This window comes from Homo sapiens, chromosome 4 (assembly GCF_000001405.40).
Source record: "Homo sapiens chromosome 4, GRCh38.p14 Primary Assembly".
Taxonomy (NCBI): domain Eukaryota; kingdom Metazoa; phylum Chordata; class Mammalia; order Primates; family Hominidae; genus Homo; species Homo sapiens.
In genome coordinates, this window is record NC_000004.12 from 17,419,452 (window position 1) to 17,436,897 (window position 17,446).

The 17,446-nt window shown below is 41.9% G+C and overlaps 1 pseudogene, besides 1 other annotated feature; it reads right to left on the reverse strand.

Annotated features, from left to right (window-relative positions):
- On the reverse strand, positions 8,216-8,898 carry RPS7P6 (ribosomal protein S7 pseudogene 6; annotated as a pseudogene).
- Positions 16,818-17,096: a silencer, noted in NCBI's record as "fragment chr4:17437892-17438170 (GRCh37/hg19 assembly coordinates)". NCBI's record gives its function as "represses an EF-1alpha promoter that drives an FKBP-Casp9 reporter gene in an ReSE screen in HepG2 liver carcinoma cells {active_cell/tissue: HepG2}" and the evidence as "EXISTENCE:reporter gene assay evidence [ECO:0000049][PMID:32094911]".

Consider the following 17,446-nt stretch of genomic DNA (forward strand, 5'->3'; position numbering starts at 1 on the left):
ATCTGAAATGACATCTACTTGCCATCCTAAAATCTAAATTTTTGGTTCTCACCTCTGGCTACAAATCAGAATCATTGAAGAGCCTTTACAAAATACAGGTGTCGAACTCTACCCATATGGATTCTGATTTCATTGTTCTGGGATAAGAACGAGGCATTGATGTATTTTAAAAGCTCTCCAGGTGATTCTAATGCGTAAGCAGGATTGAGGGCCACTGGATGAGATGATCACTACAGGGGCCTAATAGGGACCGGCTATTGACATGAAGATGGAAGAAATGATTGGGCCGGTTGAGCCAAGCTGTGGTGGCAAGAATATTAGATGGACTTCTGCATAATCCAGGGTTCAGGAAGTGTGGCCATTTTTCCCTGTTTGCACCCTCTCCTATGTCCATTAACTACCCACCTCACTCTTCTGCCTTCAAACTGTGTGTTTTAAGTTAATATGCTAAACTACGTGATTCAAGCATCTTAACTTGGTCCTTGAGCCTTTCGGTTACATGAGCTTTATGATAGCTGGTCTTGGAGTTAGCATTGTATGAAGATAATCTCCCACGGGATACCTTTGGGCAATTCTTTTCCCCTCAGAGGATGCCCTCGACACCAGATTTAGGAAAGCAAGCAACAGATTTGGAGTCAAGTCTCCTGTATTTCAGAATTATCTCAGCTACTAACCTCTTCAAGTTTTCATTGGCTCTAGATCTGTCGAATAAGAATGCTAATCCTTCACTCACAGGATTGTTGTCAAGGTTAAATAATGACAGAGGTAAAAATATTTTGCAAAACCATTGTCACTTATATGACTTTTGTTGTGACACATAGATATAATATTTTTCTTAATTTATATCTCAGCATTGAAAAGAATCCTAATTCCAGTCTTTTGGTGACAGGCTTACTCTGACTTGGAAAAATGAAAGTCCCAAGGATTTAGCAGGACTGGGGATGTGCCGCAGGTCCTCATTCCCTCAGGGAGGCCATAGAGATGCGGTTCACAGTATTGGCACCATTGGGAGGAAAGCCCACTCAGATCAAGGTACAGACCATTTCCATCTCTCTGGAAAGTTCCCTGGAGAGACTCCCATTCCCAGCGAACACTCCACCCACCCAGATAACACTATGCTGACTTGTATCAGCACACATTCATTTTGCCTCTTCTTCAATTCAACATCAGTGGGACTAGAAGGGATCCCACTATTTTCTCCAGACTTCCTTGCTCGTGGCTCAGCCAGGCAGGACCAGAATGGACTCAGAAGCTGCAGCATAGCTGAGCTGCAGCACAGCTGAGCTGCAGTGGCTAAGAGACAACTGCTCGAACCCCAGCTGTGATCAATAATTGATTGCAAGGATGATGTGCGGACACGAATCCCGGTGCCCTTCATCAGGCCGGGCAGCCTCAGGCAGTGGACCTAGTGCAAACTGTTAATAATTTTAACACATTTCACATGCACAGTTTGTTTCACCTCTCAAATAAATTAATTACGGAGACTTTAAAGGATTTTCAGAGGGAATCTCATTACCAACTGCACATTCTGCCCTCCCAATCAATAGTCTTTTCATTCTTACATAGCAAGTGGAAGAGAAAAAGGGGCTTAAAAAAAAAAACAAACTTCTTCCATTTCATCATCTCCAGCCTTGGTATTTAATAAATGCTCTGAAACATGCTCAAACTCTCAATTCCCACTGTGTGAGACTGGGCAAATTAAGTAACCTCTCTGAGCATCACCTTTAGAATACCTCCACCTTGAATGTCCATCACCCTTGTTGTCCACATGAGAAACTCCTATTCATTCTACAAAATCCTACTGCATGCAAAAAAGGCAGAAGTTTGACAGGGTTATATCACACTTTAGGGTCAGACAGTCCTCCTAGATTCAAATGTTGCTTCAACTTACTATCTAAGGTGACTATGGCCAAGTTACTTAAGCCTCAGTCTCCTCATCTACAAAATGGTATCAATATACATGAGTCACATGTAGTTATGAGGAATAAGTGATAGAATGCATGGGAAGCCACTTAGCACAGGCAGGGCTGGACATATAATATGTGCTCAATACCTATTGGTTATTGTTATTATTCATTTATTCCACAACTATGTAAGACAGACACCATGCTTAGGTAGAAGCCTTCCATGACCCATTAACCCAATCCAAACCACCTCTCTTGACTGCATTACCTCTCTGCTTTGTGCTCCTTCTAATAACATTTGGGTCACATTCTGTTTTATATCTAGTGGAGTGGACTGTCTCCCTCTGTAAATGCTGAGCTTGGAGCTGGCAGGTACCAGTCTCATTTGGTTTTGCATCCACAGAGCTTAGTAGGGTATGTGGCCCACAGCAGACACTGATGTTGGTTGAACAGTTGGCATTTAAAGCCTCATAATACAGGCTGGTGCAAGGTGCTACAGGAGCATGGAAGAAAAAGAGCCTAGTATATATCAAGGAGTCATGCAAAAGTGCTAGAGAAGGTGTCATCTAAGCCAAATCTTGAAGGATGAGTTGGAATTAGCCCAGATACAGAAGAGGAACTGCATGGCTGGAGAGGTCCCTGAAAAATGCTGCCACAGGTCCTGAGTCCCAGCTCTCAGTGTCTGGGAGAGCAAAGCTGCAGAAGAGGCCTCCAACATGCAGGTGCCTGTAGTCACAGCACCTAGGGGTGCCCCTGGCAGCAGACACTCCATGAGCCTTCAGACTAGAGATGAAGGTAGGAGCCAGATCTTAGGGAATGTTGGTGTATGCTAAGTAGCAATGAGGTTACCGATGCTCCTCAACTTACAGTGGGATTACATCTCAATAAACTCATCACCAAGTGAAAATACCCAACATTATAGCTTAACCTAGCCTACCTAAAACATGTTTAGAACACTTACAGTAGCCTACAGCTGGGCAAAATCATGAAACACAAAGCCCATTTTCATAATAAATTGTTGAATATCTCATATAATGACTAAATACTACACTGAAAGGGAAAAACAGAATGATTGTATGGGTACTCCAAGTATGGTTTCTACTGAATGCATATTGCTTTCACACCATCATAAAGACAAAAAAATTTAAGTTAAACCATCACAAGTCGGGGACCATCTATATTTTGTAGGGGACAAAGGTGCTCCTGGAGGATTCCCGTGCTCCAGGTGCTCCTGGAGAAACACAGTCAGACTTGTATTTTAAAACAAATCCCTCAGGAAACTAGTAGACTATGGCCTGTAGGGGAGGTGCTGAGGCTGGAGACTGCAGGAACGGTGAGGGTGGCCCCTGCCTGCTCTGCCCATTGTCGTATCTCCCAATGGCTAACGTGTGGCAGACGTGCAGTAAATATCTACGGAATGACCAAAGAAGGCATATCTAAGAGCCTGGCCTGGAGATCACTTAGGAGAAGTCCCTGTCACTGAGAAGCAATAAGAACCTGGACCAGGGCTGTCCAAAAGAACTTTCTGTGATAATGGAAATGATCTGTGTCTGAGCCAATTAATGTGGTAGCCACTAGCCCACATGTGGCTACTGAGCTCTTGAAATGGGACTAGTGCCACTGAGGAACTGAATTTATAGCAATGCCCCACTTCTCTGGTATGAATTTTCTGTATTAGTTCATTTTCATACTGCTTTAAAGAACTACCTGAGACTGAGAAATCTATGAAGAAAAGAGGTTTAACTGACTCAGTTCCACAGGCTGTCCAGGAAGCATCGCTGGGGAGGGGTCAGGAAACTTACAATCATGGCAGAAGGTGAAGGGGAAGGCAGCATGTCTCACATGACCAGAGCAGGAGGAACAGAGAGCAAAGGGGGAAGTGCTACACACTTTTTAACAACCAGATCTCATGAGAACTCACTCACAATCATGAGAACAAAAGGGGGAAGTCCGCCTCCATGATCCAGTCACCTCCCACCAGGCCCCGCCTCCAACATTAAGGATTAAATTTAAGTACTGATTTCCCCCTCTTGGAATGGGTCTATTTACCCAGTATCTGTACCCCATTGTATCTCAGAAGTAATTAACTTGTTTTTTATTTTACAGGCTCATAGGCAGAAGGGACTTGACTTGTCTCAGATGAGACTTTGGACTTGGACTTTTGAGATAAGGCTAAATGAGTTAAGACTTTGTGGGACTGTTGAGAAGCCATGACTGTGTTTTGAAATGTGAGAAAGACATGAGATTTGGAAAGGGCCAGGGGCAAAATGATATGGTTTGGCTCTCTGTCCCCTCCCAAATCTCATGTCAACTGTAATTCCCAATGTTGAGAAAGAGACCTGGTGGGAGGTGACTGGATCATTGGGGCAGATTTCCCCCTTGCTATTCTCATGATAGTGAGTGAATTCTCATGAGATCTGATTGTTTAAAGTGTGTAGCACCTCCCCCTTCACTCTCTCTCCTGCCACCATGTGAAGAAGGTGCTTGCTTCCCCTTCACTTTCTGCCATGATTGTTAAGTTTCCTGAGGCCTCCCAACCATGCTTCCTGTACAGCCTGCAGAATTGTAAGTCATTTACAGCTCTTTTCTTCATAAATTACCCAGTCTCCGGTAGTTTATTTATTTATTTATTTATTTATTTTGAGACGGAGTCTCGCTCTGTCACTACACTGGAGTGCAGTGGCGCAATCTTGGCTCACACCAACCTCCACCTCCCAGGTTCAAGGAATTCTCCTGCCTCAGCCTCCTGAGTAGCTGGGATTACAGGCACATGCCACTGCGCCCAGCTAATTTTTTTGTATTTTTAGTAGAGATGGGGTTTCACCATGTTGGCCAGGCTGGTTTCGAACTCCTGACCTCAAGTGATCCGCCCATCTCAGCCTCCCGAAGTGCTAGGATTACAGGTGTGAGCCACCGCAACCGGCCAGTTCTTTATAGCAGTGTGAAAACGAACTAATACACTAACCATTCATCATTTTATTTTAAAGAGCTTTTTAGACTCATCTACATACTTTTATGTATCATTCTTGTGCATAAAAGGTAATATATACGTAAAATAAATGATTTACGGTATTAATTAAAACGCTTTAAATCAGTGTTAAACTCTGCTAACTCTCTTTTTGACTCAGACTGGGTAATGTCTATTTTTTCTTTTCTCATGTAATATCATACTCTGTGCCATCAAATGCAGTGATAATACAGCAATTTTTGAAAGAGTGCTGCTCTATCATCTCTGAAGGTATTCTTTGGAACCACTGACACCCATCCTGCAAGTCTTGGTGCTGAAACAACCTTTACCAAAAGGTATCAGTGGAAAGTTTTCAAACACAAACCTGGATTTATATTCATTCCTTGAAAGACCTTGGAATAAAGACCAAGTCCACTGCTTTATGAGCAATGACAACTACATCTCAACAGCCATTTGGCTGACATCTATTGTAACATTCCATTGACTGTGAGACATATCCCGAGGTTAAAATACGAAAGTGTTCTCAGAGTCAGTGAAATTTAGTATGTGCCAGGCAGTTTCATTCACATTCAATTGATATCCATTATACTCCTGTAACGTAACAGACACTACATTAGGCAACAAATTACATCAAGAAATAAGTCGTAGAATGCCCCGAAGAGACTACAGTATCTTATAACCCTCACAAGAACCCTGCAAAGTTGACAGAGATATCCCCACTTTGCTGATGATTTTTTACCACCTTTTACTATAATCCCCATTGTACAAACAATTCCAAGTACAATTTTGCTTTGTAGGTTTTATAATTTAGTGGTGGAGCTTAGATAGCAAACCTGGTATTCCCTACTTTTAAATATACATGAAACCCACTAAAAAAGTAAAAGTAATAATAACACAATCCAGAACTGAACCGAACAGAGATTTAGCTGTTTCTACATAAAGGTTTTTACCAATTCTTTTAAAAATAAATTGTAGATAAATATCAAAGGCCCACTGTATCATATCTCTTGCACGAAAGTATGCTTATACTAGCTGTATCCAGTTATTATTCCAACGTGTGAGTATAAACATTCTCAACTCAACTATTTTATAGTCACCAAAGGATGCCTTACATGTTACTGCAGACAGAAAAAAATATTTTTAATAGCCGCACTATGGAGTAGCAGTTAGGAGCACAGACTCTAAAGCTAGGTTGCCTGGATCCAAATCTTGTGCTGCTTACCAGATGAGCGACCTGGGCAAGTTATTTATCTTGTCTATACCTCAGTTTCCTCTTCTGTAAAGTGGAGATGATGATGATTATATCTCTCTAATAATCTGTTGAGTATTAAATGAGTTAATGTGTATAAAGCATTCCAAACAATATATTGTATACAGTCAGCACTATATGAGCATTAGCCAAAATTATTCTTATACCCAGATAATTTTTAGATCTCAATTGGTGCCCTACCAGTATTACAGTCAAGATCTCAGTGCCCAAGAGTGATTGAATCAATCAATAAGTGAATGAATGGAGATTGCTTTTACAAGGGGCATTTCTGGGTAAGGGAGCAGCACATTATCTTTGCACCAATTGGGCAAATACTCTGACCACCCCAGACATGCACATCAGCAAGTGAGTTATTGAACCATGAGATCTAAAGAGAACTCAGAAATCATTTTGTCACTTACGTAAAATCCAGTTCCAATTTTAAAATATCCTGTTTATAAGAGCTCGACTCTGAGTTCACTTAACTCTGAATGAATATTTTAAACATTATTTTCTACAGTGCCTCCAAAAAATTAAGTGTCTTCAGAAGAATAACTTTCAATTAACACTAAACAAGTAAAAGGGAACTAGTTAAAGATCAATACCCATTTTTCCCTTACTTTATAATTAATGGAGTGATTGCTTTGCTTTGACAACTACAACTTACTATGAAAAAAAAAACACACACAAGCTTCAGGGTTGGAGACTAGGAGAAGTGTGTGAAATATACAGTTCTACTTACATATTCAGTATTCTACAGTCTCTTATTTTTCCTGAGGCTTTGTTTGAAAGCTTCTGCCTTTGCTCCGTTTTCACCCAATTTACTGAGAACAATGATTTCAGCCTTCTGAATTTGTTTTGCAGGGAACTGAGACATGAGCATGTTGCAGCTTTTAGAAATGTTTAAAAAAGAACCGTCTCTCAGCTGCTATCAGGGGATTAAGGGAAGCTGGGAAGCTGCGCTGTTCGGAGCTGCATGGAGGAGCTGGTGAACCAAGGGGCACGGGGAAGGAATGTTATAACTGAAAAGAACAGGGAGAATGGAAAATGAAATTTGGAATTGGAGCATGACGGGTAGGTCAGAAAACCCCAGTTCTGATCTGGTACTTGGGTACCAGTAGACACAGTTGGTCTTGCCTGCCCAGCATCCATTCCGTCATCTTTCCTTCCCTTTGCAGAGTTCCTCATCCCTCACTATCAGCTTGCAGATATCCAGTGGAACTGATCACTCTCATCCCTAGAATGACCACATAATTTATCTTCAAAATTATGGCATTGTGAGAATAAAAGTTTTAAAAATTGTAATTATGTAGTTTTTGAACTATGTATTTAGTGACTAACAAATTTATTTTATTAAATGGGTGGGCCTATGAAATAGTCCTAGTCCTATTCAAAAACTGTTTTCAAAAATACATTTTTTCAAAAAAATAAAACATATGCACAACCATTAGAGCAAAATATGAGTTGGGGAAGAGGGACATCGAATTTTATTTATATTGATTTTCTGAACATTAAAAATAACAAGCAAAATAATTATTCTTCATACATCATTAGGTATTTCAATCAAATTTTTTTTTTTTTTTTTTGGATACAGAATCTCACTCTGTCACCCAGGTTGGACTGCAAGGGCCTGATCATGGCTCACTGCAGCCTCAATCTCAGTCTCAAGCATTCCTCCCACCTCAGCCTCCTGAACAGCTGAGACTGCAGGTGCATGCCACCACACTTGGCTAGCTTTGCGTGTGTATGTAGAGATGGGATCTCACTATATTTCCCAGGCTGGTCTAGAACTCCTCAACTCAAAGCAATCCTCCCATCTCGGACTCCCAAAGTGCTGGGATTACAGATGTGAACCACCATGCCCGGCCCAATCATTTTCTTAACCATATCTGTCTCTAATACAAACTTGTATTTTCTGAAGAATTAATGATCATTTTTAATATTTTCATAAAACTGCATGCACTATGACACTGGTTGAAAGCTTCAACTGACTCTCTTGTCTGTAGATTCAAACTTTTCCCATATCTAATTGTTGATAAGTAGTAAGGAAAAAAGTATGCCCGGCTGAAGAGGAGCTTTTTTTGGTTGTTTGTTTACTGTGGATATACTTTAGTCTTTTTTGTTTACAACTGAAACCCTTGGAATTCAAAATTAACATCCTTGCCAGTGAGCTTCTTATAGACACCAGAAAAAGTCTCAACCCTGTGTTCCACGTTGTTCTGCTGTGCTTTGTCTGAATGAACCTTCATGAGCCGGCTGCCATCCAGTTTCATGCAGAGTCTCTTGTGCACAATTTCACTTGGGAAAACCAAGTCCTCAAGGATGGCACCATGCATGGCTGTCAGAGTACGGCTCCTGGGACACTTTTGCTTATTTTTTGTATGGCTTGAGTTGCCTTAGGCAGAATTCTCCCCTGAACAGTGAAAACAACATTCTTCCCCACTGAACTTTTTCTCCAATTCATGTACTAGCCAGATGTGGATTTTCTGGAAAGATTCAGTTGAGGAACAGGAACAAAGATGATGATAGCTTTCTGACCACCACCAACTTCAATTTCCTTGGCTGCCATAATTCTCAGCTCCCTGAGCTGAGCCTGAGGTCCAAGTTCATCTCCAGCTTCAGAAGTGCCTGGAAGAGCTACACTCGAACATATTCAGCTTCCTGCAGCTGGGCTTCACGATCTTGGCGCTCTAACTGAACGTGGCCTCCTTTCTGAGCTCTGGCTTAAGAAGGGGCCCAAGTATTACAAAAGCTTCTCAAATTCCAGCAGCCTGAAGAGATTTCTTTAAATTCAACATCAGCTTAATCACAAAAATTTTGCAGTTTTGTCATTCAAACTGCAAATGTTTAAAAATTATATAAAATTGACAGGAAAGCTCTATTTTGATTCATAGAATATCACAGCCTATTCAGATGCATTTCTGAATTATGTGTACAGTACAACCAATTCCATGTACAATTTTCCTTGATAGGTTTCAAATTTAGTTTTAAAAAGTTGTTTTACCTTGACGTCATGTTGTTCCAAAAATTGTAAATGTATTTATTACCTTAAATAATTTTATCTTCAATGTTGATCTTGCTAACTTAATCTACAACATCCATTAGTCAGATGTTTCACCATTAATAGAACAAATTTCCAAATTTGGTTTGTTTTCAATAATTGGGTGAAAAATGCAAACCCTTATAGATATTAACTAATTCTAGAAGTTAACTTTTCTATTTGAACCATCTCAGAACATGGATATAAAGCTGGCACCCATTTAACTGTCTGCAAATTTCTTTTTAATGGAGACAACACACTAACGGCTATCGTATTACTTTTTGTATTGCACAAGAAAACTTGGTATAAAAAATAAGCAAACTGAATTTAGAAGAGCAGTCACTTGATCTAAAAGAAGAGTTATGATTCGGCCGGGCGCAGTGGCTCACTTCACACCTGTAATCCCAGCACTTTGGGAAGCTGAGGCGGGCAGATCACGACGTCAGGAGATCAAGACCATCCTGGCTAACACGGTGAAACTCACCTCTACTAAAAACACAAAAACAAAATTAGCCGGGTGTGGTGGCAGGCGCCTGTAGTCTCAGCTACTCGGGAGGCTGAGGCAGGAGAATGGCATGAACCCGGGAGGCAGAGCTTGCAGTGAGCCGAGATCACACCACTGCACTCCAGCCTGGGCGACAGAGCAAGACTCTGTCTCAAAAAAAAAAGAGTCATGATTCACAGAGGGGTAGGCAAAAGCACCTAAGGCCACGGCACATGTTAATTTATCATTATAAGTCACAATCTTAAAATAACTACCAACACTGGAAGTAGATCCTGATGCTCCCATAGACTTGTGCCTTCTGGTTTTCAAGTGGTCAGTGATAATATTATGCCCTCTCCCATATCTATGATAAAATCAATAAATATCTTCTACAAGTTAACCTTTATCATCAACTTTCTTGTGGGTTTTTTTGTTTGTTTGTTTGTTTCTTTGTTTGTTTTGAGACTGAGTTTCACTCGGTTCCCCAGGCTGGAGTGCAGTGGCGCGATCTCGGCTCACTGCAAACTCCGCCTTCCAGGTTAAAGCAATTCCTGTGCCTCAGCCTCCTGAGTAGCTGGGTTTACAGGCACGCACCACCACGCCCATCTAATTTTTGTATTTTTAGTGGAGACAGGGTTTCACCACGTTGGCCAAGATGATCTTGAACTCTTGATCTCAAGTGATCCACCCGTTTCGGCCTCCCAAAATGCTAGGATTACAGGCATGAGCCACCGCACCCGGCCTATCATCAACTTTCTCGAGAAATTAACATTCATTCACTAATTTTTCAACAAACAAGCACATTTTTTAACTCATTGATGTTAAAATAATATTAAAAGTCATTACAAAATAGAAAAAATATTACCAAACAATGAAACAAATAGTTGCAGATTTCACCGCATAGTAATTGACAAAACCACTGTGGCAAGAACATTCAGATTATTTTCTATTATAATGTGTGCGATATGGAGGAAATGATGCACAGCATAGAGAATATAATGTGTACATTACAGTGTACACTCATTTCCTCCACATGCCTCATATACACCTGACTAGTTTCCATTTTTCCAAGTGATCCTGCCAGCTGGAGAGCTGGCAGTTCCAGGAGTCACACAGGCCTTGGCACAAGCCACAGCCCTCTTTCTGGTACCCTCTGTGGCCAGCCGGGCAGCAGCATCAAATACTTACCCCACTACCACCCAAGACCAAAAGAATTTGCAAGCCCAAGCTGCTCTTCCCTAAGCATCCAGCTTACTGCCCTTGAGGGCAGATATTAAGTTATTTCATGCCAGGGTCCAGACAAGGGAGTCATCATGGCTGGATGACTTTTAGATTTAACTACGGACTAAACTCAAGTGTCTTCACTACATGTTTCTCTCATTTGACCAGAGGAGTCTATGGCAAAAGGTGGAAATACAAAGTAGAGGTCTACCAAAATACATTTTCGTGTATTTTTAATGTCACTATTAACAACATTTTATTAAAAATAAAGAAATCAGGGTAAATGCTAAACTACCCAGGAAAGATAACAGGCACAAACTTAGACCCTCTCCTACAAACCAGAGCACATGGTCATCAGAGAGACAGGCACCTCCTAGCCTGGCCTATCAAAGCTCTGCAGCCTCCTGGCCACAATGATTGGTTCCAAGTTGAACACACATGACTCTTCTTAAACCAATGAGAATCAAGCTCCAGATCTTCTGCTGGGAATCTTTTTTTTTTTTCTTTTTTAGACGGAGTCTAGCTCAGTTGCTCAGGCTGGAGTGCAATGGCACGATCTCGGCTCACTGCAACCTCCACCTCCCGGGTTCATGCAATTCTCCTGCCTCAGCCTCCCAAGTAGCTGGGATTACACTCAACTGGGATTACAGCCTGAGCAAGGCCCAAGACAGAAATGGAAACGTTTGTTAAGCCATCTTAGGATGTACACAGTGCTTTTCATAGTGCAGCTATCACTCCAAGCCCATTTTAAAGGCTTGAGCAGTTGAAAAGGACAAAGAGATGATCTGCTGGTCAACAAATCTCAAATATTTATATAGCAGGGATGGTTTAACATACCCAAGTCAATAAATATAACACATCACATAAACATGTGATCATCTAAATAGATGCAGAGAAAGCATTTGAAATCCAGCATCCCTTTATGATAAAAACTCTCAACAAGCTAGACATAGAAGGGACCAACCTCAAAATATTATAAAAACCATATGTAACAAACCCACAGCCAACATCATCCTGAATGGGGAAAAGTTGAAAGCATTCCCCATGAGAACAGGAGCAAGATAAGTGTTCCCACTTTCACCACTCCTGTTCAACATAGTTCTGGAAGTTCTAGCCAGAGTTAATTAGGCAAGAAAAAAATAAAGGGCATCCAAATTGGAAAAGAGGAAGTCAAACTATCACTGTTTGAAGATGAGATGACTGTATATCTAGAAAATCCTAAAGACTCCCCCAAATAATCTTAGATTTGATGAATGAGTTCAGTAAAGGATCAGGTCACAAAATCATGTATACAAATCAGTATCACTGCTATACACCAACAACCACCAAGCTGAGAATTAAAAATCAAGAGCTCAATCCCTTTTTACAACAGCTGAAAAATAAAATAAAAAAGTAATGTAGGCCTGGTGCAGTGGCTCACACCTGTAATCCCAGCACTTTGGGAGGCCAAGGTGGGTGGATCATGAGGTCAAGAGATCAAGACCATCCTGGCCAACATGGTGAAACCCCGTCTCTACTAAAAATAGAAAAATTAGCTGGGCATGGTGGCATGCACCTGTAGTCCCAGCTACTTGGGAGGCTGAGGCAGGAGAATCGCTTGAACCTGGGAGGCAGAGGTTGCAGTGAGCTGAGATCTCGCTACTACATTCCAGCCTGGTGACAGAGCAAGACTCCATCTCAAAAAAGAAGTAAAGTAAAATACCTGGGAATATACTTAGCCAAGGAAGTGAAAGATCTCTCCAAGGAAAACTACAAAACACTGCTGAAAGAAATCATAGGTGACATAAACAAATGGAAATGCATCCCGCGCTCATAGATTGGAAGAATCAATATTATGAAAATGACCATATTGCCCAAAGCAGTCTACAGATTCAATGCAATTCCCATCAAAATACCAACAGCATTTTTCACAGAACTAGAAAAAACAATTCTAAAATTTATATGGAATCAAAAAAGAACCCAAATAGCCATGGCAATACTAAGCAAAAAGAACAAATCTGGAGGCATCACATTACCAAACTTCAAATTATACTACAATGCTATCGTTATCAAAATAGCATGGTACTGGTATAAAAGTGAGTACATAGATGAATGGAACAGAATAGAGAACCCAGATATAAAGCCAAACATGTCCAACCAACTGATCTTTGACAATGCATACAAAAACAGAAATTGGGGAATTGACACCTTATTTAATAAATGGTGCTGGAAAAACTGACAAGCCACAAGTATTAAACTGGATCCTCATCTCTCACCTTATATAAAAATCAACTCAAGATGGATCAGAGACTTATAAATATAAGGCCTCAAACTATAAAAATTCTAGAAGATGAAATTGAAAAAACTCTTCTAGACATCAGGCTAGGCAAAGAATTCATGACTAAGACCCCCATAAGCAAATGCAACAAAACCAAAAATATATAAAGGGGACCTAACTAAAGAGTGTCTGCACAGCAAAAGAAATAACCAGCAGAGTAAACAGACAACCCACAGAGAAAATATTTGCAAAGTACACATCCAGCCAAGGACTAGTATCCAGAATCTACAAGAAACTCAAACAAATCAGCAAGAAAAAAAAATAATAATCCCATTAAAAAGTGGGCAAAGGACATGAATAGACAATTATCAAAAGAAGATATATAAATGCCCAGCAAACAATGAAAAAATGTTCAACATCTCTAATCATCAGGGAAATGCAAATCAAAACCACAATGAGATACTACCTTACTCCTGCAAGAATGGCCACTATTAGAAATTCAGAAAACAACAGATGTTGGCGTGGATGCAGGAGAAAGGGAATGCTTATACACTGCTTGTGGGACTGTAAATTAGTACAACCTCTATGGAAAGCAGTATCGAGATTCCTCAAAGAGCAAAAAGTAGATCTACCATTTGATCCAGCAATCCTGCTACTGGGGATCTACCCAGAGGAAAATAAGTCATTATATGAAAAAGACACTTGCACACACGTTTATGGCAGCACAACTCACAATTGCACAGGTGTGGAACCAACCTAAGTGGCCATCAACTATTAAATGGATAAAGAAAATGTGGTATAGATCACCATGGAATACTACTCAGCCAGTAAAAAGAATGAAATAATGTCTTATGCAGCAACTTAGAGCTAGAAGACATTGTTCTAAGTGAAAAAACAGAGTAGAAAACCAAAAACTGTATGTTCTCACTTATAAGCAGAAGCTAAGCTATGAATATGAAAAGGCATACACAGTGACATAATGGACGTTAGGCACTCAGAAGGGGGAAGGTGGGAGTGGGGCTAGTAATAAAAAACTACATATTAGGTACAATGTACACTACTTGGGTGATAGGTGCACTAAAATCTCAGAATTCGCCACTACATCATCCATCCATGTAACCAAAAACCACTTGTACCCAAAAGCTATTGAAATATAAATAAATGAGGTAATGAGGAGAAATAAACTATTCAGAATTTTGAATCGTGTGTGTGTGTATAGCACTTATTGAGCCCAAATAATTCTCCACTCTCCTGGATGCCATGCAAAAAAAAAAAAAAAAAAAAAAAAACCACAAAGAAGAATAAAAAATCTTTGGCTTTTAAGGAATTTAAAGGCAGAAGTGAGTGCATGAGACAGACACAGAAAGTATGGGGGCTCGACTCGCTTTATAATAACTCACTCATGCGATAACTAACCCGCCTCTGCGAGAAGGACATTAATACATTCATGAGGGCTCCACCCTCATGACCCAATCACTGCTGATTAGGCCCCACCTCCCAACAGTGTTGCACTGGGGATTGTTTCCAACACATGAACTTTTGGGGGACACAGTCAAACCATAGCAGTGTGATTCTGGCTTTAACTGCAGTTTCCCTCATTAGAGAACTACTGGATCTTTAGGGAATGAAATGTTCCAGTCCTGATCCAGTTGTGTATGTTCTTTTGAAGTCTCCTGTTTACTGACATGTCAGGCTACCTTGCCCCATGTTTCACTGGCTAATTGAGGAGAGTTATCTGTTTCTCTGCCACCGCTCAAAGGCTTCATTGTCATCTACATTTCTAAGCTGTAGTTTTCATTACCCCTCATTTGATACCTCATAGATCTGTGCCTTGGTGGAACTTATGGAGGCTCAAATTTCTCCAATTATACTCTGTAAAATTTCCTGCTGCTGCAGCCTCTTTCTCTCAACTGTGAGGTCAAGGACTACATCAACATTGGGTTTTAGTAAAAAGAGAACAATTTCCAAACTGTTCTTAAAAGTTTCCCAACATTTTGAAAGGAAAAAAAAAACCAAATCTATTATTACTTACTGGGTTGTGCTATCAAATATCCCTTCACCATCTGCAAAGGTCAGGGTTTTGTTTTCTAACAATATATTGCCCACTTATTAGGATGACAGCAATCAAGTGTAAATGTCACTGAAATGGTATAGACAATAAACGCCATAGAAATCTACAAAAGAGAACTCTCACTTCCCGAGCAGACTTCCATTCATTTGCTCACTTATCCATTCAATGAATATTTATTGATAATCTACACACACCAGGCACTGAGCTAGGCAGACATAGCCTCTGCCATCGTGGAGCTTTTAGAGATATACAGAAAATAGTCACACAGATATGGAGATAATTACAAAGTGTGGTAAGTGCAATGCAAAAAAAAAAAAAAAAGTGCAGAGAGCTATGAGAAAAAAAATAGCCAGCATGGGAATGAAATTTAATTTAGATTTAGAGGGAAAGTAAGATTTAATTGGGCTACAGGCAATAAACGAGATTTATTATGATCAGAGTCTAAACAACAAAGAAAATGACTGAGTGTTGAGGCCTCTCAAGAGAGTCCCAAACAATTGAAGATAATTATGATGACTTCTAGGTAACAGCAGGTGGTGACCTCTAACAGGTCAGGGGACAGTGATGTCCCATCATGAGCCCCTTTCAGAAACTTGGGACCTCTTCTGACACAGGTCTGATACTCACCTCCTGCTCAGATTCACTCCCACCAGTGGCGTTCCCCAAACTGTGATGCTGACGAATCTGTGTTTTGGTGTTGAAACGGGAAAAATTCCCTTATCCCCCTTGTAGGGCATGTGATGAGTTGCTCACTTCTTCGGTGCCCCACTGCTCTAACCCCTAAGGGGAGCATGCAGACGGTTTGGTTGTGGGACCCCACAGCCGTGTCTAGAGGTGAATGTTTATAGCTCCTGGGGCCCCAACGGGCCTGTGTTACAGGGTGGTCTTTTAGCCATTTGTAGGCGGCTTGTGTTAGCTCAATTAGACCCCCTGCCTTATCACAAGAACAGAGGACTTTCTGTATCCCGGGATTTCTTGCCTTGGTGTGTCCGGAATTGGCGGGTTCTTGGTCTCACTGACTTCAAGAATGAAGCCGCGGACCCTCGAGGTGAGTGTTACAGTTCTTAAAGGCGGCGTGTCCGGAGTTTGTTCCTTCTGATGCTCCTTCTGATGTTCGGATGTGTTCGGAGTTTCTTCCTTCTGGTGGGTTCGTGGTCTCGCTGACTTCAAGAGTGAAGCTGCAGACCTTCGCGCTGAGTGTTACAGCTCTGTGTCCGAAATTGGTGGGTTCTTGGTCTCACTTACTTCAAGAATGAAGCCGCGGACCTTCGCGGTGCTTGCTACAGTTTTTAAAGGAGGGGTGTCCGGAGTTTGTTCCTCCTGATGTTTGGATGTGTTCGCAGTTTTTTCCTTCTGGTGGGTTTGCGGTCTTGCTGGCTTCAGGAGTGAAGCTGCAGATCTTCGCGATGAGTCTTACAGCTCACAAAGGCAGTGTGGACCCAAAGAGTGAGCAGCAGCAAGACTTATTGCAAAGAGCGAAAGAACAAACCCTCCACAACGTGGAAGAGGACTCCTGCAGGCTACCACTGCCAGCGCCAGCAGCCTGCTTTTTTATACTCTTATCTGGCCCCACCCACATCCTGCTGATTGATCCATTTTACAGAGAGCTGATTGGTCTGTTTCACAGAGAGCTGATTGGTCCGTTTTGACAGGGTGCTGATGGGTGCCTTTACAGTCCCTCAGCTAGACACAAAAGTTCTCCAGGTCCCCACTAGATTAGCTAGAGGGCTGATTGGTGTATTTACAAACCCTGAGCTAGACACAGAGTGCTGATTGGTGCATTCACAATCCCTTAGCTAGACATAAAGGTTCTCCAAGTCCCCACTAAACTCAGGAACCCAGCTGGCTTCACCCAGTGGATCCGCAGGGGGGCATGCCGCAGGTGGAGCTGCCTGCCAGTCTCGTGCCTTGCGCCTGCACTCCTCAGCCCTTGGGCGGTCGATGGGACTGGGCGCTGTGGAGAAGGGGAAGGTGCTCGTGGGGGAGGCTCGGCCCAAGCAGGAGCCCTCCGCGGGGGTGGAGAGAGGCTCAGGCATGGCGGGCTGCAGGTCCTGAGCCCTGCCCCACGGGGAGGCAGCTAAGGCCGGGCGAGAAATTGAGTGCAGCGCCTGTGGGCCGGCACTGCTGGAGGACCCGGCGCACCCTCCGCAGCTGCTGGCCCGGGTGCTAAGCCCCTCACTGCCGGGGTCCACTCTGAGTGCGGGGCCCGCCAAGCCCACCTCATCCGGAACTCTATCTAGCTGGCCCCTAAG